Raw genomic sequence first — 23,751 nt, forward strand, 5'->3', positions numbered from 1 at the left:
GAAGCATTTATGTTCCCTTGGAGAATCTTCCCACCAAGGACTCAAAGTTGTCTCCAGACCAGGGAATGCCTGGGGCCTTGGACTTTCCCAATTCTGGTATCACCTCCCATTCTCCTTTAGGTCCAGCTTTCTCAGAGGGGCATGCATTGTTCATTGCCACCAAGGGTATCCAAGGACAGAAACTGAAGATAATAGTGCCTTATTGTCTCTCAGTCATCTTTCTCTCCCACATGCTGGAAAGAGAGCCAAGTCCAATTTATCCAATTACAAAATAGCAACATTGGCATCATGAGATCAGCTAACAAAACTTTCAGAGGCAATCTATCTTCCTACCAAAAGTAACCAACATCTGTGGAGCACTGACCATGACTAAGGGTCAACATAAGTGGTTTGCATGCTACATGCATCAGGATGGACTAGGTTATGCTGCAGTAACAAATTAACCCCAGAGTCTCAGCAGCTTAGCAACCAAGGTTGATTTCTTACATTCCATGTCCACAATGGGTTGGCTGGGTATGGTGTGCTCCATATGGCCACTCAAAGACCTAGAATGATGGAAATTCTACCATCTTAATGTAAGGATTCTCCCCTAGTTACTGCACCAGGAGATGAGAGAATGAGATAGTTATTTCCAAGCCCTCAAAAGCTGTAGACTAGAGGTGATGTCAGTGACTTCCACTTATAGAGCACTGGACCCTGGCATGGATCCATCTAACTACGGGGGTCTGGGGAATACAGGGAGCAGATGGAAATCCCATGAGCAGTAACCATTCCTGCCAGCATGCATTATTTCATCTGAACCTCACAACCCTATGGAATATATAACAGAGGCTTGGAGAGTTATGGGACCTGCCCCAAGGCATCATAGATAATGAGTTGCAGAGCTGAGATATGACCTTCGGCCTCCTCACCCACCTCCTCACCCACCCCCACCCCCACCGAAAGAATCAAACTACGCAAATAACTGGAATGAAATTCTCAGGCAATTTCAGCAGGGGAAATGGGGTTATCTCATCTGGGTCTCACATCCAACCTCGTCAAGACAAGACCTTCCCTACACTTCACCTGAACACCTGGACACACTGTCATGTCTTGCCAGTTCTTGTTACTGGAGATCCAATGATGATGTCTTTATACAATTTATAGGTCTTTCTATAAGTGTCAAGATAAATGTCATCTCTGTACCTGCCTATCTTTCAGAGGTAGGCAAGCTTCTATGTAAAGTGCTAGATAGTAAATATTATAAACTTTTCAGGACTCATCTGATCTCCATCCTATATATTTTTTTGTTTTTATTTTTGTTTTACAAATTTTTTTTTTCTTTTTAGATAGGGTCTAAAAAGAAAATAAAACTTATCCATGTTGTGATATGGATGAACGTTAGGGTTAGTGAAAGAAGCAGACATGAAAGGTCATATATTGTAGAATTCCATTTATATGCAATGTTCAGACTAAGCCAATCGACAGAGATAGAAAGTAGATGAGAGGTTTCCAACGGCTGCAGGAGGGAGTATGCAGAGTGACTGCTGAATGGATATGAGGCTTCCAACTGAGGTGTTGAAAAAGCCCTGAAACTAGGTAGTGGTGATAATTACACAACATGATAGATGTACAAAATGTCCCTGAATTGTACACTTTCAGATGCACAAAATGATAAATGTTGCATATATTATACCACAATTTTATTCATTTATTTTAGAGATAGAGTCTCACTCCGTCACCCAGGCTGCAGTGCAATGTCACAGTCATAGCTCACTGCTGCCTTTACCGCCTGGACTCAAGCAATCCTCCCACCTAGTCTTCCAAGTAGCTGGGACTACAGGTGAACGCTACCACACCCAGCTTTTTAAATTTTTTTATAGAGTTGCATTCTCAGTATATTGCCCAGATTGGCCCAAACTCCTGGCTTTAAGTGATTCTCTCATCTCAGCCTCCCAAAGTGCTGGGATAACAGGTGTAAGACATCAGGCCAGGCAATTTTCAATTCTTATGCAAAATTTTCAACTAATTCCTAGGATTGAAAAAAATGTCGATCAACATGGGGATTAGAGGAAAAAATAATTTTAAACAAGAGAAAAAATTAAATGAGATGATGTACATGTATACAGTGCCTGGCCTCATGATCAATGACTCCACTGCAGCTTTTTATTTCTTTTTCCATACAGGGTCTCACTCTGTCACCCAGGCTGAGTACAGTGGCATAATCATGGCTTACTACAGCCTCAACCTCCTGGGCACAAGTGATCCTCCCACCTCAGCCTCTCAAGTAGCTGGGACTACAGATGCACACAATCACACCTAGCTATTTGTGTTGTTGTTGTTATATTTTTTGGTAGTGGCAGGGTCTCACCATGTTGCCCAGGCTGGCATCTCGAACTCCTGGGCTCAAGCGATCCTCCCACCTCAGCTTCCCAAAGTGCTGGGATTAAAGGTGTGAGCCACCATGCCCATCCTGTTGTAGCTATTTTAATAGTGCTGGTGAACAATAATTTGCTCTCCCTATAAAAACAGAACATACTAAGCCAAGGAAAGCACCAATCTAGTTTGTTCTCCCCAGATCTTCAAAGTGTTGGAATTAGTATAAGAGTCCAAAATATTTCATGTGGTTTGATTTTTTTTTTTTTTTTGGAGATGCAGTCTCGTTCCATCGTCCAGGTTGGAAGGCAGTGGAGCAATCTCAGCTCACTGCAACCTCCGCCTCCCGGGTTCAAGCAATTCTCCTGCCTCAGCCTCCCGAGTAGCTGGGATTACAGACATGTACCGCCACGCCTGGCTAATTTTTGCATTTTTAGTAGAGATGGGGTTTCTCCATGTTGGCCAGGCTGGTCTTGAACTCCTGACCTCAAATGATCTACCCGCCTTGGCCTCCCAAAGTGCTGGGATTACAGGTGTAGGCCACCATGCCCGGCCAGCTTGATTTTTTACTGTGGTAAAATACATACAAAATCTATTATTTTAGCCATTTTCAAAGGAAAAATTCAGTGGTATTAAGTGCATCCCCCACATTGTACAGCCATGTCCCCCATCCATCTCCAGAACGCTTTCATACTGTCCTGCAAATATGCAGCACCTTGCTACACTCCAGGTTGTTTGTCCCACAACAGAGCTGGGCTGAATTACTAATGCGGACTTTGTTTAACAACGGACTAAAGAGGGAGAAGCCCATGAACACTGTGAGGAGTGCATGACAGGTGCTTGTGGGATGACATGACTCGGCGCCCTCCAGCTGCTGCTGCCACCGCCTGTCCTGCTGGGCGGCCACCCCCTCGCAGGGAAGAAGAGCACTCACAACTGCTGCTGATCTCCTTCCAGGGCTTCCGCTGGGACTAGGATCAGGATGTGAACACCCCCAACCTGGACCATCTGGCCAGGGAGGGCGTCAAGGCCAAGTACCTCATGCCGCCCCTTGTGACAATGACCTCCCCGTCCCACTTCACTGCCATCACAGGTAAGCGCCACTCTGCCCATTTCACCCGATGCCCATCAAATCCCCAGCGTCCGTCATTCCCTGTGATAAGAAGCAAAAGCTCGGTCAGCTCTAGGGAGGTTGAGGTTGCTCCGGGGTCTCACTCTGTTGCCCAGGCTGTAGCTCAGTGGCATAATCACAGCTCAGTGGAGCCTCAAGCTCCTGGTCTCAAGCAGTCCTCCCTAGCTCAGTCTCCTCAGTAGCTGGGGATACAGACAAGCCACCATGCCTGATTTTCTCATTTTCTTAGAAACTGGGGCAGGGGGTGTCTCACTATGTTGCCTGGGCTGGTTTTGAACTCCTGGCCTCAAGTGATCATCCCACCTCAGCCTCCCAAAGTGCTGAGATTGGAGACATGAGCTACCGTGACTGGCCTGTTCTTTTTTTTTAAAGTAAATAAGGCCGAGCATGGTGACTCACCCCTGTAATCCCAGCACTTTTGGTGGCTGAGGTGGGTGGATCACCTGAGGTCAGGAGTTCAAGACCAGCTTGCCCAACATGGTGAAACGTCACCTATCCTAAAAATACAAAAATAAGCTGGGCGTGGTGGCAGATGCCTATAACCACAGCTACTCTGGAGTCTGATACAGGAGAATCACTTGAACCCAGGAGGTGGTAGTTGAAGTGAGCCGAGATCATGCCATTGCATTCCAGTTTGGGCAAAAGAGCAAGATTTTGTCTCAAAAAAAAAAACAAAAGTAATAAAAATAAAAAGGTAAATAACTAAAATCACTTTTAAATAATTGTATAAAAATAATAAAACACTGACATTTACAGAGCTCAGTTAGATGAGGTGACTCATACCTTCCAATGGTGTCTTGGTTCTCTTACATAAGAATTCAAATGTCTTTCTGTGGCCCAAAAGATCCCACACAGCCTGGCCCCTGGCCTATCTTCTGCCAGCCTCTCTCATCTCTCTCCCTCTCCTTCACTTCCTTCCGGATCACAAAGGCCTTTGCCTGTGCCTTCTGCCCTGCTCCCTCAAGCCCCAGGGCCTTGGCCTGTGCTAGTCCAGTCCCTCCAGCTCACCAGGAGCATACAGTCCAGTCGGGGAGACAGACACCAGACACCCAAACAGGCACATACATCCTGTAACAACTCAGGAGGCATCAAGGAGGAAAACGAGTTTTCCAGGCACAGACTACAGGCGTAAACTGGTTTCAAACTAGAGAGGGAGAAAGGGGGTCTCTGAGCATGGGGCAGTTGAGCTGAAAGAGATCTCAGGGGACCAGAGGAAGGAAAAGTGTTCCAGGCGAGGGAAGAGCATGTGTGAGGTCTCTGAGACAAAGACCTGGTCATTTCAGAATCCCAATGGCCACTAAAATAGAGGGATTCCAACCTAAAAAGGAGGAAGAGGAGGCTGCTGGAAAGCAAAGGACTCTGTGTAAGAATCATAATAGCAGGAGTGGAGCCAAGATGGCCGAATAGGAACAGCTCCAGTCTACAATTCCTGGCGTGAGCGACCCAGAAGACAGGTGATTTCTGCATTTCCAACTGAGGTACTTGGTTCATCTCACTGGAGAGTGTCAGAAAGTGGGTGCAGGACACTTGGTGCAGTGCACCGAGCATGAGCCAAGCAGGACAAGGCATTGCCTCACCTGGGAAGTGCAAGGGGTCAGAGAATTCCCTTCCCTAGTCAAAGAAACGGGTGACAGATGGCACCTGGAAAATCGGGTCACTCACACCCTAATACTGCACTTTTCCAATGGTCTTAGCAAACGGCACACCAGGAGATTATATCCCATGCCTGGCTCAGAGGGTCCTAAACCCATGGAGCCTCACTCATTGCTAGCACAGCAGTATGAGATCAAACTGCAAGGTGGCAGCAAGGCTGGGGGAGGGGCGCCCGCCATTGCCTAGGCTTCAGTAGGTAAACAAAGCAGCTGGGAAGCTCCAACTGGGTGGAGCCCACCTCAGCTCAAGGAGGCCTGCCTACCTCTGTAGACTCCACCTCTGGGGGCAGGGCATTGGCAAACAAAAGGCAGCAGAATCCTCTGCAGACTTAAATATCCCTGTCTGACAGCTTTGAAGAGAGAAGTGGTTCTCCCAGCACACAGCTGGAGATCTGAGAATGGACAGATTGCCTCCTCAAGTGGGTCCCTGACCCCCGAGTTGCCTAACTGGAGGCACACCCCCGTAGGGGCAGACTGACACCTCACATGGCCGGGTACTCCTCTGAGACAAAACTTCCAGAGGAACAATCAGGCAGCAACATTTGCTGCTCAACAATATCTGCTGTTCTGCAGCCTCAACTGCTGACACCCAGGCAAACTCCAACAGACCTGCAGCTGAGGGTCCTGACTCTTAGAAGGAAAACTAACAAACAGAAAAGACATCCACACTTAAAACCCCATCTGTACGTCACCATCATCAAAGACCAAACGTAGATAAAGCCACAAAGATGGGGAAAAAACAGACACACACAGGCTCAAATAAAGGGATGGAGGAAGATCTACCAAGCAAATGGAAAACAAAAAAAAGGCAGGTGTTGCAATCCTAGTCTCTGATAAAACAGACTTTAAACCAACAAAGATCAAAAGAGACAAAGAAGGCCATTACATAATGGTAAAGGGATCAATTCAACAAGAAGAGCTAACTATCCTAAATATATATGCACCCAATACATGAGCACCCAGATTCAAAAAGCAAGTCCTTAGAGACCTACAAAGAGACTTAGACTCCCACACAATAATAATGGGAGGCTTTAACACCCCACTGTCAACATTAGACAGATCAACAAGACAGAAAGTTAACAAGTATATTCAGGAATTGAACTCAGCTCTGCACCAAGCGGAACTAATAGACATCTACAGAACTCTCCACCCCAAATCAACAGAATATACAGTCTTCTCAGCACCACATCGCACTTCTTCCAAAATTGACCACATAGTTGGAAGTGAAGCACTCTTCAGCAAATGTAAAACAACAGAAATTATAACAAACTGTCTCTCAGACCACAGTGCAATCAAACTAGAACTCAGGATTAAGAAACTCTCTCAAAACTACTCAACTACATGAAAACTGAACAACCTGCTCCTGAATGACTACTGGGTACATAATGAAATGAAGGCAGAAATAAAGGTGTTCTTTGAAACCAACGAGAACAAAGACACAACATACCAGAATCTCTCGGACACATTCAAAGCAGTGTGTAGAGGGAAATTTATAGCACTAAATGCCCACAAGAGAAAACAGGAAATATCTAAAACTGACACCCTAACATCACAATTAAAAGAACTAGAGAAGCAAAGAGCAAACACATTCAAAAGCTAGCAGAAGGCAAGAAATAACTAAGATCAGAGCAGAACTGAAAGAAATAGAGACACAAAAAACCCTTCAAAAAATCCATGAATCCAGGAGCTGGTTTTTTGAAAAGATCAACAAAATTGATAGACCACTAGCAAGACTAATAAAGAAAAGAGAGAAGAATCCAATAGACACAATAAAAATTGATAAAGGGGATATCACCACCAATCCCACAAAAATACAAACTACCATCAGAGGATAGTATAAACACCTCTATGCAAATAAACTAGAAAACCTAGAAGAAATGGATAAATTCCTCGACACGTACACCCTCCCAATGCTAAACCAGGAAGAAGTTGAATCTCTGAATAGACCAATAACAGGTTCTGAAATTGAGGCAATAATTAATAGCTTACCAACCAAAAAAAGTCCATGACCAGACGGAATCACAGACGAATTCCACCAGAGGTAAAAGGAGGAGCTGGTACCATTCCTTCTGAAACTATTCCAAACAATAGAAAAAGAGGGAATCCTACCTAACTCATTTTATGAGGCCAGCATCATCTTGATACCAAAGCCGGGCAGAGACACAACCAAAAAAGAGAATTTTAGACCAATATCCCTGATGAACATCGATGCAAAAATCCTCTATAAAATACTGGCAAACCGAATCCAGCAGCACATCAAAAACTTATCCACCATGATCAAGTGGGCTTCCTCCCTGGGATGCAAGATTGGTTCAACATTTGCAAATCAGTAAACATAATCCAGCATATAAACAGAACCAATGACAAAAACCATATGATTATCTCATTACATGCAGAAAAGGCCTGTGACAAAATTCAACAACCTTCATGCTGAAAACTCTCAATAAATTAAGTATTGATGGGACGTATCTCAAAATAATAAGAGCTATCTATGACAAACCCACAGCCAATATCATACTGAATGGGCAAAAACTGGAAGCATTCCCTTTGAAAACTGGCACAAGACAGGGATGCCCTCTCTCACCACTCCTATTCAACATAGTGTTGGAAGTTCTGGCCAGGGCAATCAGGGAGGAGAAGGAAATAAAGGGTATTCAATTAAGAAAAGAGGAAGTCAAATTGTCCCTGTTTGCAGATGACATGATTGTATATCAAGAAAACCCCACTGTCTCAGCCCAAAATCTCCTTAAGCTGATAGGCAACTTCAGCAAAGTCTCAGGATACAAAATCAATTTGCAAAAATCACAAGCATTCTTATAAACCAATACAGACAAACAGAGAGCCAAATCATGAGTGAACTCCCATTCACAATTGCTTCAAAGAGAATAAAATACCTAGGAATCCAACTTACAAGGGATATGAAGGACCTCTTCAAGGAGAACTATAAACCACTGCTCAACGAAATAAAAGAGGACACAAACAAATGGAAGAACATTCCATGCTCATGAGTAGGAAGAATCAATATCGTAAAAATGGCCATATTGGCCAAGGTAATTTATAGATTCAATGCCATCCCCATCAAGTTACCAATGACTTTCTTCACAGAATTGGAAAAAACTACTTTAAAGTTCATATGGAACCAAAAAAGAGCCCGCATTGCCAAGTCAATCCTAAGCCAAAAGAACAAAGCTAGAGGCATCACACTACCTGACTTCAAACTATACTACAAGGCTACAGTAATCAAAACAGCCTGGTACTGGTACAAAAACAGAGATATAGACCAATGGAACAGAACAGAGCCCTCAGGAATAATGCCACATATCTACAACCATCTGATCTTTGACAAACCTGACAAAAACATGAAACGGGGAAAGGATTCCCTATTTAATAAATGGTGCTGGGAAAACTGGCTAGCCATATGAAGAAAGCTGAAACTGGATCCCTTCCTTACACCTTAGACAAAAATTAATTCAAGATGGATTAGACTTAAATGTTAGACCTAAAACCATAAAAACCCTAGAAGAAAACCTCAGCAATATCATTCAGGACATAGGCATGGGCAAGGAATTCATGTCTAAAACACCAAAAGCAATGGCAAGAAAAGCCAAAATTAACAAATGGGATCTAATTAAACTAAAGAGCTTCTGCACAGCAAAAGAAACTACCATCAGAGTGAACAGGCAACCTACAGAATGGGAGAAAATTTTTGCAATCTACTCATCTGACAAAGGGCTAATATCAAGAATCTACAATGAGCTCCAATAAATTTACAAGAAAAAAACAAACAACCCATCAAAAAGTGGGCAAAGGATATGAACAGACACTTCTCAAAAGAAGACATTTATGTAGCCAAAAGACACGTGAAAAAAATGCTCATCATCCCTGGCCAGAGAAATGCAAGTCAAAACAACAATGTGATACCATCTCACCCCAGTTAGAATGGCGATCATTAACAAGTCAGGAAACAACAGGTGCTGGAGAGGATGTGGAGAAATAGGAACACTTTTACGCTGTTGGTGGGACTGTAAACTAGTTCACCCATTGTGAAATTCAGTGTGGCAATTCCTCAGGGATCTAGAACTAGAAATACCATTTGACCCAGCCATCCCATTACTGGGTATATACCCAAAGGATTATAAATCATGCTGCTATAAAGACACATGCACACGTATGTTTATAGTGGCACTATTCACGATAGCAAAGACTTGGAACCAAGCCAAATGTCCAACAATGATAGACAGGATTAAGAAAATATGGCACATATACACCATGGAATACTATGCAGCCATAAACAATGATTTCATGTCCTTTGTAGGGACATGGATGAAGCTGGAAACCATCATTCTCTGCAAACTATTGCAAGGACAAAAAACCAAACACTGCATGTTCTCACTCATAGGTAGGAATTAAACAATGAGAACACATGGACACAGGAAGGGGAACATCACACACTGGGACCTGTTGTGGGGGCGGGGGAGGCGGGAGGGATAGCATTAAGAGACATACCTAATGTTAAATGACGAGTTAATGGGTACAGCACACCAACATGGCACATGTATACATATGTAACAAACCTGCACGTTGTGCACATGTACCCTAAAACTTAAAGTATAATACAAAATAAAAAATAAGATAAAAACTTCGGCTGTTGACTCCAATATCCTGCTTCATCATCTCTCTACTCCAGAAACTTTTCACATGCTTACAAAGGGTGTTCGTTTCTCCTCTAAGTATTTGCTCCCCAGCCCCACCTGCAAGAAGGTGGAAGTAGGGCCTCTGCCTGGGATGGTAACTCTCAAATATAAGGCAAGACCTGTCTCTCCACCAGTATCCCCAGGACTGAAGGACTGTGAAAGTCTGCATATTGATCAAGCTTCTCCCTCCCTTATCTGAAGGGACTTACTTCCTTCAAGACACTTTTCCTCTTCCCACCTAGCTCCATGCCCCCATCCAGTCATCTTCCAACCCATCTCTCCCAACCTGCATGCCACACAAGAGGGGCGTGACCACAGCACCTGGAAGTTCATTAAAACTGAATGGTGTGTCAGGCCAGGTGCGGTGGCTCATGTCAGCAACCCCAGCACTTTGGGAGGCTGAGGCAGGCAGGTCACTTGAGGTCAGGAGTTCGAGACCAGCCTGGCCAAAATGGAGAAACTCCATCTCTACTAAAAATATAAAAATTAGCTGGGTTTGGTTGTGCTTGCCTGTAGTCCTAGCTACTTGGGGGGCTGAGGAAAGGGAATCACTTGAACCTGGGAGGCAGAGCTTACAGTGAGCCAAGATTGCGCCATTGCACTCAAGCCTGGGCGATAGAGTGAGACTCTGTCTCAAAAAAAAAAAAAAAAAAGAAAAAAGAAAAAAAAGAAATCGAATGGTGTGATTAGCTTATGATTTTTTAAAAATGGAATGATGTATTCATTTTCTAAGCTGCATAACAAATCAACACAAATTTAGCAGCTTAAAACATCCATCTATTACCTCTCCTTTCCTGTGGGTCAGGAGTCTGGGGGTGCAGTTTAGCTGGGCCCTCTGCTTAGGTACTTACAAGGTTGTGATCAAGGTGTTGGCTGGAATTAGTGTCTCATATGAGGCTTGGGGTATTCTCCCAACCTCACATGGTTGTTGGCAGAATTTATTTCCATGCAACTGTGGAACTCATGTGGCTTGCTTCTTCAAAACCAGCCAGGCATGGTGGCTCACGCCTGTAATCCCAGCACTTTCGGAGGCCGAGGCATGTGGATCACCTGATGTCAGGAGTTCGAGACCAGCCTGGCCAATATGGTGAAACCCCATCTCTACTAAAAATACAAAACTTAGCCGGTCATGATTGTGCACGCCTGTAATCCCAGCTACTTGGGAGGCTGAGGCAGGAGAATCACTTGAACCCAGGAGACAGAGGTTGCAGTAAGCCGAGATCGTGCCACTGCACTCCAGCCTGGGCAACAGAGTGAGACTCCATGTCAAAAACAAACAAACAAACAAAAACCAAAAACCAGGAGGAAGGAGTCTCTCTCCTCCAGACCCTCATTGAAGATCTCACCTGAAGATGTCAGGCCCACCCTGAATAATCTCTCTTTTGATTAACTCAAAGTGAATGGATTAGGGGCTTAGTTACATCTGCAAAATCCCTTCAACTTTTCCATAGGTATAGATTAGAAGCAAGCCACGGGTCCTGCCTACACTCCAGGGGAGAGGAGATTACACCTGGCATTTATCCAGGGCAAGAACCTAAGGGGTCATCTCAGAATTCTGCCTTCCAAATAGATCCTCGGTGGAGCTCACGAGCCTGGGCGAGCACCAGCCTTTGTTTAAAGGCAACAGAGAATGATGCCCTGGCTCAGATCTCCAGCAAGCCTCCAGAATGATGGTCCAGTCTCTGAACCCTGGGCCAAGGCAGCAGGAGGTTTGGGTGCACATGGGGGCTTCCCCCACTTTGAAGTGAGTCGTCACATCTGTATTAGACCCTAGCTGTTGCTTAGGCAAAAATGATGATTTAGAAGAAGATGGAGAGAAGAGGAGAGTTAATTTAAAAGTACTTGTATTCGGCCGGACGTGGTGGTTCACGCCTGTAATCCCAGCACTTTGGGAGGCTGAGGCAGGCGGATCACGAGGTCAGGAGATGGAGACCATCCTGGCTAACACGGCGAAACCTTGTCTCTATTAAAAATACAAAAAATTAGCTGGGCGTGGTGGCGGGTGCCTGTAGTCCCAGCTACTCAGGAGGCTGAGGCAGGAGAATGGCGTGAACCCAGGAGGCGGAGATTGCAGTGAGCCGAGATCGCGCCACCGCACTCCAGCCTGGGCAACAGAGCGAGACTCCGTCTCAAAAAAAGAAAAAAAAAAGAAAGTACTTATGTTCATTCCCTAGGGCTGCCACAACCAAGTACCAAAAGCTGCGTGACTTGAAACCAGAGAAACTGATTGTCTTGTGGCTCTGGTGGCCAGCAGTCTGAAATGGAAGTGCCAGCAGGGCCACGCTCCCTCCTGCGCTTGTCGGGGAGTCCTGCCTTGCCTCTTCCTACCTTCCTGTGGTCTCCTGGCAGTCTTCAGTGTTTCTTGGTTTGCATACGCATCAGTCCAATCTTCCGGCCAATCCATGGACGCCTTCCCTGTGTCTCTGTGACTCGGCGTGTCCTCTCGTCTTTTATAAGGACACCAGTCGTTGACTTAGGGCCCTCCCTACTCCAAGATGACTTCATCCTAATCAATAGCGTCTGCAATAACCCTATTTCTTTCTTTTCTTTCTTTCTTTCTTTCTTCCTTTCTTTTTTCTTTCTTTCTTTCTTTCTTTTTTTTCTTCTTTCTCCCTCTCTCTCTCTCTCTCTCTCTCTCCCTCTCTCTCTCTTTCTTTCTTTCTTTCGAGACGGAGTTTCACTCTTTTTGCCCAGGCTGGAGTGCAATAGCACGATTTCAGCTCAATGCAACCTCCGCCTCGTGGGTTCAGGCGATTGTCCTGCCTCAGCCTCCCTAGTAGCTGGGATTACAGGTATGTGCCACCACACCCAGCTAATTTTGAATTTTTAGTAGAGACGGAGTTTCTCCATGTTGGTCAGGCTGGTCTCAAACTCCTGACCTCAGGTGATCCGCCTGCCTCGACCTCCCAAAGTGCTGGGATTATAGGCATGAGCCACCACGCCCGGCCCGCAATAACTCTATTTCTAAATAAGGTCACATTCTGAGCTACTAGAATTTAGGATTTCAACATGTTTTGAGGAGGACTCAATTTAACCCATAAGAATACTATGTGGGCCACACATGCTGCTTCACATCTGTTATCCCAGCACTTTCGGAGTTTGAAGCAGGAGGATCATTGCTCAGGGCATAGGGGACACCAGGTGCATAAGACCACAGCGTTGACTGGTGTGGGGGCTCACACCTGTAAGTTTGGGAAGCTAAGGCAGGACGATCACTTGAGCCCAGGAGTTTGAGGCCAGCCTGGGTGACATAGTGAGATCTCATTTCTAAAGAAAAAAATAATAATAATAATTAGCTGGGCATGGGGGTAGCGGCCTACAGTCCCAGCTACTCAGGAGGCTGAAGCAGGAGGGTCGCTTGAGTCCAGAAGATCAAGGCTGTGGCGAGCTGTGATTGCACCACTGCACTCCAGCCTGGGCAATAGAGCAAGCCCTGTCTCAAAAAAAAAAAAAAAAAAAGTCATCTCCTTTGTCTTCTGATTCCGTGAGCTCTCATAGAAAGGAAGTGAAGCAGTGAAAGCATCCCCCCAAAAGGGAGTTTTCAAAACCAGCCTAAGCAACATAGCAAGACCTTGCCTTTAGAAAGTATTTAAATTTGAAGGAAAAAAAAAAGCAGTACTATAGCACAGAGGTGACAGCTACAGGTGTGGCTACATCCAGGTCCTAAAACTATATCATCAGAATGACCCCCTCACCCTCCCCCCGCTTTCCATTTTACTTTCTTAAGCATGAAAATGAAATTTCCAAGATTGTCTCTCCTTTGGCTAATCTGCTTCTCAGACCCAATCACTGTGGCCAGGGTGGTGGAAGGACACTGGCATCCAGGCTGGGACCACATGCCCCAGATCCAGATCAGGGTGGGGAATGGCCAGTGGCACACATGCCGTTGGGGACTAGTGACTCCTCAGCGGAAAATCAGGAACTATCATTGGAGAGGAGCGATAGAAGAAAGGCTGACACAGTGCAATGTGTCTCCTGCACCAGCCTGGGCCTTGATGTCTTGAGTACTGATGACACAGTACTCAGTCCAGGGCAATCCCAACTCCATCTATGGGGCTGCCCACAGTACATGGACCGCCTCACTGGATTTGCTGACCACATGTGCAAACAGCCACCTCCCAGCCCCACTCCCCGCAGTCCCCCTGAACCCTGTCAAAATTCCCCTCAGTTCTCACCAAGACTAAAAGCAATTCTGAGGGTGAGCGGCTCATTCTGCTAGTTTAACTCTCTCGATTCCTTCCCTCTCCAGAACTCTGTACTTACTGCTCCGTCACTGGTAATGACAATGAACATCTTCACAATCTCAGGTTTTATTGCAAAGTGATTGAGGACCAGTTAGAATAAGTTATGCTGCAGAAACTAAAGAAATCCCGTCAAGCAAATTGTGTGTCATAGAAAGTCTTAGGACAGCCGTGTATATTTTCTCCCCCAATGAATCAATTGAAAATGAGAAGCTCTTACCGCCATGTTCCGGGCAGAAGCTATCAAAAGTATAAGCCATGATATTATAATTTGATGATTTTTCATGCGTCAAATGGTTATGGCCCAGGGGTGAAAAGTGGATGCTCCGTAACTAGATGATGGTCAAGAGTTATAAAAATGAGGTCCTCTCTGTTCAACATTTCTCCTTTCTTGAAAGGATACTGAATATCATGCTCAGGGCCTCTAATGGCCAGAAATAAAGTTCCTCCCAGTTCCAGAGCACCCCAGGATAACCCCAAAACCAGAGCAACTGCTTATTTCCATATAGACTATATACTGTGCAACTCCCGGGGTGGCATTTTCATAAATATGTGGGTGGCGCCCCCTGGAGGTAAGCAATGCACAACTTGCACAAATGGTAAGACACCGTATCCCAAAGTCCACAAAGAAGAGCTAAGCAAAACTCCCATCGATGTTGCCATCGGTAATGAGTCTGCCTTTTCTTCATGGGACAGTAGCAAAAACAATTTGGCCAAGTGTGCTTGGATGATCTCTAAGATGGAATCAGGGTCTCTCACTTTCAGCACTATTGACATTTGGGGCTGGATCATTCTTTTGTCTTAGTGGGAGTTGTCCGGGGCATTGTAGGATGCTTAGCAGCATCGCTGGCCTCTACCCATTAGCTGCCAGTAGCACCACCTCCTCCAGCCGCAACCACCAAAATTGTCTCCAGACATGGCCACGTGTTCTCTGGGGGGCAAAATCACCCCCTGGCTGAAAAGCCCTGAAGTAAAGACATAATATGCAGATCACATGTAAGTAAGGGAGCCTAAGGGCCACACAGGTGATGCTGTACCCATGACAAAGACAGAGTCTTAAAGAGGTTAGAGAGGTGGAGAAAGAGAAAGGAAATGAAGTCCCAGTTGCCTAGAGCAACAGATGCTGACTAGATGTTGTTGATAGTCATCTTTAAACTGAGTTAAAAGATGCTGAGAAGCCATCAGCTCCCATCCTGCTCTCCAGGGACAACGCTGCTGAAAAAAGGCCTGGAGATCAACAAAGCCCCAAACACAGGTGCACTGAGCAAAGAAACCAGAGATTGAGACAAAATGACATTCCCTCAAAGACTACACATTTCCAAGAGGAGAGAAAAAGTGGAGTCATGAAAAACAGTTGAGGCTGGATAGAGTGACTCACACCTGTAATCCCAGCACTTTGGGATTACTCCCAGTCTGAGACGGGAAGACTGCTTGAACTCAGGAGTTCAAGACCAGCCTGGGCAACGTAGCAAGACCTTGCCTCTAGAAAAAGGGAAAAAATTAGCCAGGTGTGGTAATACATGCCTGTGGTCTCAGCTACTCGGGAGGCTGAGGTGGGAGGATCACTTGAACCCAGGAGGTAGAGGCTGCAGTGAGCCGGGATCGCACCACTGCACTCCAGCCTGGGCTACAGATCCTGTCCCAAAAAAGAAAAAAAATAAACCAAATTAAGGCCAGGCACGATGGCTCATGGCTGTAATCCCAGCACTTTGGGAGGCCGAGGTGGGCAGATCACGAGTTCAGGAGATTGAGACCATCCTGGCTAACACGGTGAAACCCCATCTCTATTAAAAATACAAACAATTAGCCGGACATGGTGCTGGGTGCCTATAGTCCCAGCTACTCTGGAGGCTGAGGCAGAAGAATGGAGTGAACTCGGGAGGTGGAGCTTGAAGTGAGCCAAGATCACGCCACTACACTCCAGCCTAGGCAAAAGAGCAAGACTCTATCTCAAAAAAAAAAGAAAAGAAAATTAAAAATTTTTTTGAGACCAAGTCTCACTCTGTCACCCAGGCTGGAGTGATCTCCAGCTCACTGGATCTCCGCTCACTGCAACCTCCGCCTCCTTGGTTCAAGTGATTCTCAGTTCTCAACCTCGTACCTCAACATGACTACAGGCATGTTTTCACCATGCCTAATTTTTGCATTTTTAGTAGAGATGGGATTTCACCATGTTGTCCAGGATGGTCTTGAACTCCTAGGTTAAAGCAATCTACCCACCTCAGCCTCCCAAAATGCTGAGATTACAGGCATGAGCCACCGTGCCTGACCTCTAACTTTTCATTATGGAAATTTTCCATATGCACAAAAATCAGGGAGAGAATTACACCATGAACCCCCATGCACCCATCATCCCACTGCAAGAACTTGTCAACATTTCGCCAATCTCATTCCAGTTCCCACTTTTCTTTTCCTTCTTGCTATTTTAGGATATTTTAAAGCAAATTCCAGACATTTCATTTCACCCACATCCATAACACACCAGGGTGCATTCTTGATGTAAGGATTTTGTTTTGTTTTATAACCCCCCATGCCATTGCCACAGTTAATAGATTTAACATGAAGAAACTAAGATTCTTGCAGGTGGAGAAAAGATCTAATTACCACCTTAAAGCCTCACCTACTAGCGCTTCTCAGATCTGAACGTGTATGCAAATCACCTGGGCATCTTGTTAAAATGTAGATTCTGGCCCAGCAGGTCCTTCCGGGTGAGCCCTGAGAGTCTTCAATACCAAAAGCTCCCAGGTGACGCAATGCTGCGGGTCCATGAATCACACAAGAGGAAGTGTCGTGTCGGCCAAACACCCACAACAACTGGGTGTGAAGTCCTGACCGTTCCTGACTGCAGGGCCTTCAGTGAACGGGGCAGCTGGGGACCATTTGGGAAAGAAGGGAGGTTTTTCCTATCAGCTCCAGGCCTTGTAGAACTGCCAGGGAATAACAGACACAAGGTCAGCAAAGTCTAACCAACAGCACGAGTGCATTCATATTCCACAACCACTGCAGCAAAGAACCATGAAATGGGTGGCTTCAAACAATGTCTGTGTCAGGTGCCGTGGCTCACACCTAAGTAATCTCAGGACTTTGGGAGGCTGAGTTGGGTGAATCACTTGAGGCCAGGAATTCGAGACCAGCCTGGCCAATATGCCAAAACCTCGTCTCTACTAAAAATACAAAAATTAGCCATGCATGGTGGCAGGCACCTGTAGTCCCCACTTCTTGGGAGGCTGAGGCAAGAGAATGGCTTGAGCCTGGGAGGTGGAGGTTGCAGTGAACTGAGATCATGCCACTGCACTCCAGACTGGGCAACAGAGCAAGCCTCTGTCTGAAAAAAAAAAAGAAAAAAAAAAAAAATTAATTGTCTGGAGGCCAGAAGTCCAAAATCAATCAAATGTCAGCAGGAGAATGCTCCTTCAGAGGTTCTAGGGGAGAATCCATTCCTTGCGTCTTCCAGCTTGTAGAGGCTACTAGAATTCCTCAACTTGTGGCTGCATGATCCAATCTCTGCCTCTGTGATCACCTTGCCTCCTCCTCTTCTGTCTGGGTCTCCTCCTCTGGAGGAAGAGTGTCAGTCCTCTGAGCCCAAGCTAAGCCATCATTATCTCCTGTGACCTGCATGTACATATCCAGATGGCCGGTTCCTGCCTTAACTGATGACATTACCTTGTGAAATTCCTTCTCCTTGCTCATCCTGGCTCCAAAGCTCCCCTACTGAGCACCTTGTGGCCCCCACTCCTGCCTGCCAGAGAACAACCCCCCTTTTTCCTTTACCTACCCAAATCCTATAAAATTGCCCCACCCCTATCTCCCTTCACTGACTCTCTTTTTGGACTCAGCCCACCTGTACCCAGGTGAAATAAACAGCTTTACTGCTCACACAAAGCCTGTTTGGTGGTCTCTTCACATGGATGCATGTGAAATTTGGTGCCGTGACTGGGATCGAGGGACTTCCCTTGGGAGATCAATCCCCTGTCCTCCTGCTCTTTGCTCTGTGAGAAAGATCCACCTATGACTTCAGGTTCTCAGACTGACCAGCCCAAGAAACATCTCACCAATTTCAAATCTGGTAAGCGGCTTCTTTTTACTCTCTTCTCCAACCTCCCTCACTATCCCTCCACCTCTTTCTCCTCCCAATCTTGGCACCACACTTCAATCTCTCCCTTCTCTTAATTTCAATTCCTTTCATTTTCTGGTAGAGACAAAGGGGACACGTTTTATCTGTGGACCCAAAACTCTGGCACCAGTCACGGACTAGGGAAGGCAGCCTTTCCTTGGTGTTTAATCATTGCAGGGACACCTCTCTGATTATTCACCGAGGTTTCAGAGGTGTCAGACCATGCAGGGATGCCTGCCTTGTTCCTTCACCCTTAGCAGCAAGACCTGCTTTTCTGGGGGAGGGACAAGAACCCCTCAACCCCTTCTCCTTCACCCTTAGCAGCATGTCCCACTTTTCTGGGGGAGGGACAGGAACCCCGACCTCTTATCTCTGCACCCCGATCCCTTATTTCCATGCCCTGACCTCATCTCTGTGTCCCGATCCCTTATTTCCACAACCTGACCTCTTATCTCTGCACCCCAACCCTTTATTTCTGTGCCCCCAACCCTTTCCCTCTATTCTGGAAGGCAAGAACCCTCCACCCCTTCTCTCCATGTCTCTACTCTCTTTTCTCTAGGCTTGCCTCCTTCACTATGGGCAAGCTTCCGCCTTCCATTCCCCTTTCTTCTCCCTTACGCTGTGTTCTTCAAAACCTAAAACCTCTTCAACTCACACCTGACCTAAAACCTAAATGCCTTATTTTCTTCTACAATGCTACTTGACCCCAATACAAACTCAGCAGTGGTTCCAAATAGCCAGAGAATGGCACTTTCAATTTTTCCATCCTACAAGATCTAGATACTTCTTGTCATAAGATGGGCAAATGATCTGAGATGCCTGATGTCCAGGCATTCTTTTACACATTGGTCCCTCCCTAGTCTCTGTTCCCAGTGCAACTCATCCGAAATCTTCCTCCTTTCCCTCCCACCTGTCCCCTCAGTCCCAACCCCAAGTGTCGCTGAGTCTTTCTAATCTTCCTTTTCTACAGACCCATCTGACCTCTCCCATCCTGGCCAGCCTGAGCTAGGTCCCAATTCTTCCTCAGCCTCCACTTCTCCACCCTATAATCCTTTTATCACCTCCCCTCCTCACACTGGGTCTGGCTTACAGTTTAATTCCGTGACTAGCCCTCCCCCACCTGCCCAGCAATTTACTCTTAAACAGGTGCCTGGAGCTAAAGACATAGTCAAGGTTAATGCTCCTTTTTCTTTATCCCAAATCAGATAGCATTTAGCCTCTTTTTCATCAAATATAAAAATCCACCCCAGTTCATGGCTCGTTTGGCAGCAACCCTGAGATGCTTTACAGCCCTAGACCCTAAAACGTCAAAAGGCCGTCTTATTCTCAATATACATTTTATTACCCAATCTGCTCCCGACATTAAATAAAACTCCAAAATTAAATTCCGGCCCTCAAACCCCACAACAGGACTTAATTAACCTCAACTTCAAGGTGTACAATAATGGAGTAGAGGCAGCCTAGCAGCAACATATTTCTCAGTTGCAATTCCTTGCCTCCACTGTGAGACAAAGCCCAGCCAAATCTCCAGCACACAAGAACTTCCAAACGCCTAAAGCGCAGTGGCCAGGCATTCCTCCAGAACCACCTACCCCAGGAGCTTGCTACAAGTGCCAGAAATCTGGCCACCAGACCAAGGAATGCCTGCAGCCCGGGATTCCTCCTGAGCCATGTCCCATCTGTGCGAGACCCAACTAGAAATCGGACTGTTCAACTCACCTGGCAGCCACTCCTAGAGCCCCTGGAACTCCAGCCCAAGGCTCTCTGACTGATTCCTTCCCAGATCTTCTTGGCTTAGCAGCTGAAGACTGACACTGCCTGATAGATCACCTCGGAAGCCTACAGGACCATCACAGACGCTCTAGGTAACTCTCACAGTGGAGGATAAGTCCATCCCCTTCTTAATCAATACGGAGGCTAACCACTCCACATTACCTTCTTTTCAAGGGCCTGTTTCCCTTCCCTCCATAATTGTTGTGAGTATTGACAGCCAGGCTTCTAAACCTCTTAAAACTCCCCAACTCTGGTGCCAACTTAGACAATACTCTTTTAAGCACTCCTTTTTAGTTGTCCCCACCTGCCCAGTTCCCTTATTAGGCTGAGACACTTTAACTAAATTATCTGCTTCCCTGACTATTCCTGGACTACAGCCACATCTCATTGCCACCCACCTTAACCCACAAGTAGAAGATACCTCTATTCCCTCCTTGGCAACCTATCATGCACCCCTTACCATCTCATTAAAACCTAATCACTCTTACCCCTCTCAATGCCAATATCCCATCCCACAGCATGCTTTGAAAGGATTAAAGCCTGTTATCACTCACCTGCTACAGCATGGCCTTTTAAAGCCTATAAACTCTCCTTACAATTCCCCCATTTTACCTGTCCTAAAACCAGACAAGCCTTACAAGTTAGTTCAAGATCTGTGCCTTATCAACCAAATTGTTTTGCCTATCCACCCCAAGGTGCCAAACACATATACTCTCCTATCCTCAGTTCCTCCCTCCACAACCCATTATTCTGTTCTGAATCTCAAACATGCTTTCTTTACTATTCCTTTGCACCCTTCATCCCAGTCACTCTTCGCTTTCACTTGGACTGACCCTGACACCCATCAAGCTCAGCAAATTACCTGGGCTGTACTGTCGCAAAGCTTCACAGACAGCCCCCATTACTTCAGTCAAGCCCAAATTTCTCCCTTATCTGTTACCTATCTCAGCATAATTCTCATAAAAACACACGTGCTCTCTCTGCCGATCGTGTGTGACTCATCTCTCAAACCCCAACCCCTTCTACAAAACAACAACTCCTTTCCTTCCTGTGCATGGTTGGATACTTTCACCTTTAGATATCTGGTTTTGCCATCCTAACAAAACCATTATATAAACTCACAAAAGGAAACCTAGCTGACCCCATAGATCCTAAATCCTTTCCCCACTCCTCTTTCTGTTCCTTGAAGACAGCTTTAAAGACTGCCCCCACCCTAGTCTTGGTTCCCTGACCGGGAAGCGAGGTAATTGACGGCAGTTGAGGCAGCCCTTTAGGCGGCTTAGGCCTGCCCTGTGGAGCATCCCTGCGGGGGACTCCTGCCAGTTTGAGCGACGCGGATCCTGAGAGCTCTCCTGGGTAGGCAATTGACCCGGTGGAATGCCTCGTCAGAGCAGTGTGTGGTAGGCCCCGGTGGAGGATCAACATAGTGGGTGAACACCGGGAAGGAACAGGCACTTGGAGTCTGGACATTTGAAACTTGGTAAGACTGGTCTTTGGAACTTGCCCACTCTATTTGAGTGGAAGTGTGGCCTGATCACCCACGGCGTGCCTGTACTGGCACTTTGGTTTTTGTTTTTGACTTGAATTGAATTGCTTGATACTTTGGTTTTGGTTTGACCTGGCTTGGATTTCTGGATACTCCGATTTTGGTTTTGATTCTGGTTTGGTGAAAACTGAAAAAGTGTGTGTGTGCCCTTTTTACTCATTCTTTGTTCTGTGGTGTGCGTGTGGTGTGAGCTTGGTGTTTTGTCTCGAGGAAACGTGGGTCAGACACAAAGTAAGCCTACTCTGCTAGGAACTATGATGAAAAATTTTAAGAAAGGATTTAATGGAGACTATAGGGTTACTATGACACCAGGGAAATTTAGAACTTTGTGTGAAATAGATTGCCCAGCTTTAGAAGTGGGTTGGCCATCAGAAGGAAGCCTGGGCAGGTCCCTTGTTTCTAAGGTATGGCACAAGGTAATTGGTAAGTCAGGACACTCAGACCAGTTTCCATACATAGACACTTGGTTACAGCTGATGCTAAACCCCCCACAGTGGCTAAGAGGGCAGGCAGCAGCAGTGCTAGTAGCGTAGGGACAGATAGCCAAGGAAGGATCGTGCTCCACCCGCCGAGGGAAATCAACACCTGAAGATCTGTTCAACCCAACAGCAGAACATGCATTGCAGGAGATGGCACCAGTGATCCCAGTGGTGCCCTCCCCTTACCAGGGAGAAAGGCTCCCCACTTTTGAGTCCACAGTGCTTGGGCCTCCACAAGACAAACATATCCCTAGGCAATCCAGAGTATACAAAAGAAGAGGTGAGGACTCGGGAGGAACCCCTCCCTTGGCAGCTCGTTTAAGACCCAAAACGGGGATCCAAATGCTCCTGAGAGAGCAGCGGTATACAGGGATAGATGAGGATGGTCATGTGGTGGGGAGGCGTGTTTCTGTGTACCAGCCCTTCACCTCTGCCCACCTTCTCAACTGGAAAAATAGTACCCCATCCTATACCAAAAAGCCACAAGCTCTAATTGATTTGCTCCAAACTAATATCCAGACCCACAACCCCACTTGGACTGATTGTCACCAGCTGCACATGTTCCTCTTTAACACAGATGAAAAATGGAGAGTGCTAGAAGCAGCAACTAAGTGGCTAGAGGAACATGCACCGGCTGATTACCAAAACCCCCAAGAGTATGTAAGGACCCAGTTACTGGAACCGACCCCCAGAAGGACCCAAATGAAAGAGAGGATATGCAAAGGCTAAACCGATACAGGGAAGCTCTCTTGGAAGGATTAAAGAGGGGAGCCCAGGAGGCCACAAATGTTAACAAGGTCTCTGAGGTCATTCAGAGAAAAGAAGAAAGTCCAGCACAATTCTAGGAGAGACTGTGTGATGCCTATGGTATGTATACACCCTTTGATCCCGATAGCCCTGAAAATCAATGCATGATTAACATGGCTTTAGTTAGTCAAAGCGCAGAAGACATTAGAAGAAAACTGCAGAAACAGGCTGGGTTTGCAGGGATGAACACATCACAGTTATTAGAAGTAGCTAACCAGGTGTTTGTAAACAGGGATGCAGTAAGCCATAAGGAAAACTGCAGAGAGAAGGAACGTCAGGCCCAGCGAAACGCCGACCTGTTAGCGGCAGCAAACAGAGGGGTCCCCCAAAAGAGGCAAGGGAAGGGGGGCCCCGGGAAAGAAACTCAGCCTGGCTGTCAAAGGTTGCAGCGTAATCAGTGTGTTTATTGTAAAGAAATAGGACATTGGAAGAGCAAATGCCCTCAGCTAAAAAGAAAACAAGGTGATTCGGAGCAAGAGGCTCCAGACAAGGAGAAAGGGGCCCTGCTCAACCTGGCAGAAGGGTTATTGGACTGAGGGGGACCGGGCTCAAGGACCCCGAAAGAGCCTATGTTCAGGATGACAGTTAGGGGTAAAGACATTGATTTTCTTGTAGATACTGGTGCTAAACATTCGGTAGTAACCGCCCCGGTCGCCCCCTTATACAAAAAGATTATTGACATCATCGGAGCCACAGGGGTTTCCGCAAAGCAAGTTTCTGCTTGCCCTGGACTTGTACTGTAGGAGGACATAAAGTGATTCATCAGTTTTTGTCCACGCCTGACTGTCCCTTGCCCTTATTGGGAAGGGACTTGCTTAGCAAACAGAGAGCCACTATCTCTTTTACAGAGCATGGCTCTTCGCTGCTAAAGTTACCCGGAACGGGAGTCATTATGACCCTTACCGTCCCCCGAGAGGAGGAATGGAGACTTTTCTTAACTGAGCCGGGCCAAGAGATA

General features: G+C 46.2%; 1 long non-coding RNA gene and 1 pseudogene across 1 annotated transcript in view, besides 2 other annotated features; one reads left to right on the plus strand and one right to left on the minus strand.

The window, feature by feature from the left end:
- Positions 1-23,751, minus strand: part of FAM85B (family with sequence similarity 85 member B) — a 126,742-nt gene that overhangs the window by 50,321 nt on the left and 52,670 nt on the right. The window lies entirely within an intron of this gene.
- Positions 3,283-23,751, plus strand: part of ENPP7P1 (ectonucleotide pyrophosphatase/phosphodiesterase 7 pseudogene 1) — a 62,552-nt pseudogene continuing 42,083 nt past the window's right edge.
- Positions 15,764-16,592: an enhancer, noted in NCBI's record as "OCT4-NANOG-H3K27ac hESC enhancer chr8:8024368-8025196 (GRCh37/hg19 assembly coordinates)". NCBI's record gives its function as "activates a minimal SCP1, AML or CMV promoter by ChIP-STARR-seq in primed H9 embryonic stem cells {active_cell/tissue: H9 hESC(primed)}" and the evidence as "EXISTENCE:reporter gene assay evidence [ECO:0000049][PMID:30033119]".
- Positions 16,593-17,422: an enhancer, noted in NCBI's record as "OCT4-NANOG-H3K27ac-H3K4me1 hESC enhancer chr8:8025197-8026026 (GRCh37/hg19 assembly coordinates)". NCBI's record gives its function as "activates a minimal SCP1, AML or CMV promoter by ChIP-STARR-seq in primed H9 embryonic stem cells {active_cell/tissue: H9 hESC(primed)}" and the evidence as "EXISTENCE:reporter gene assay evidence [ECO:0000049][PMID:30033119]".

Source organism: Homo sapiens, chromosome 8 (assembly GCF_000001405.40).
Source record: "Homo sapiens chromosome 8, GRCh38.p14 Primary Assembly".
Classification (NCBI taxonomy): domain Eukaryota; kingdom Metazoa; phylum Chordata; class Mammalia; order Primates; family Hominidae; genus Homo; species Homo sapiens.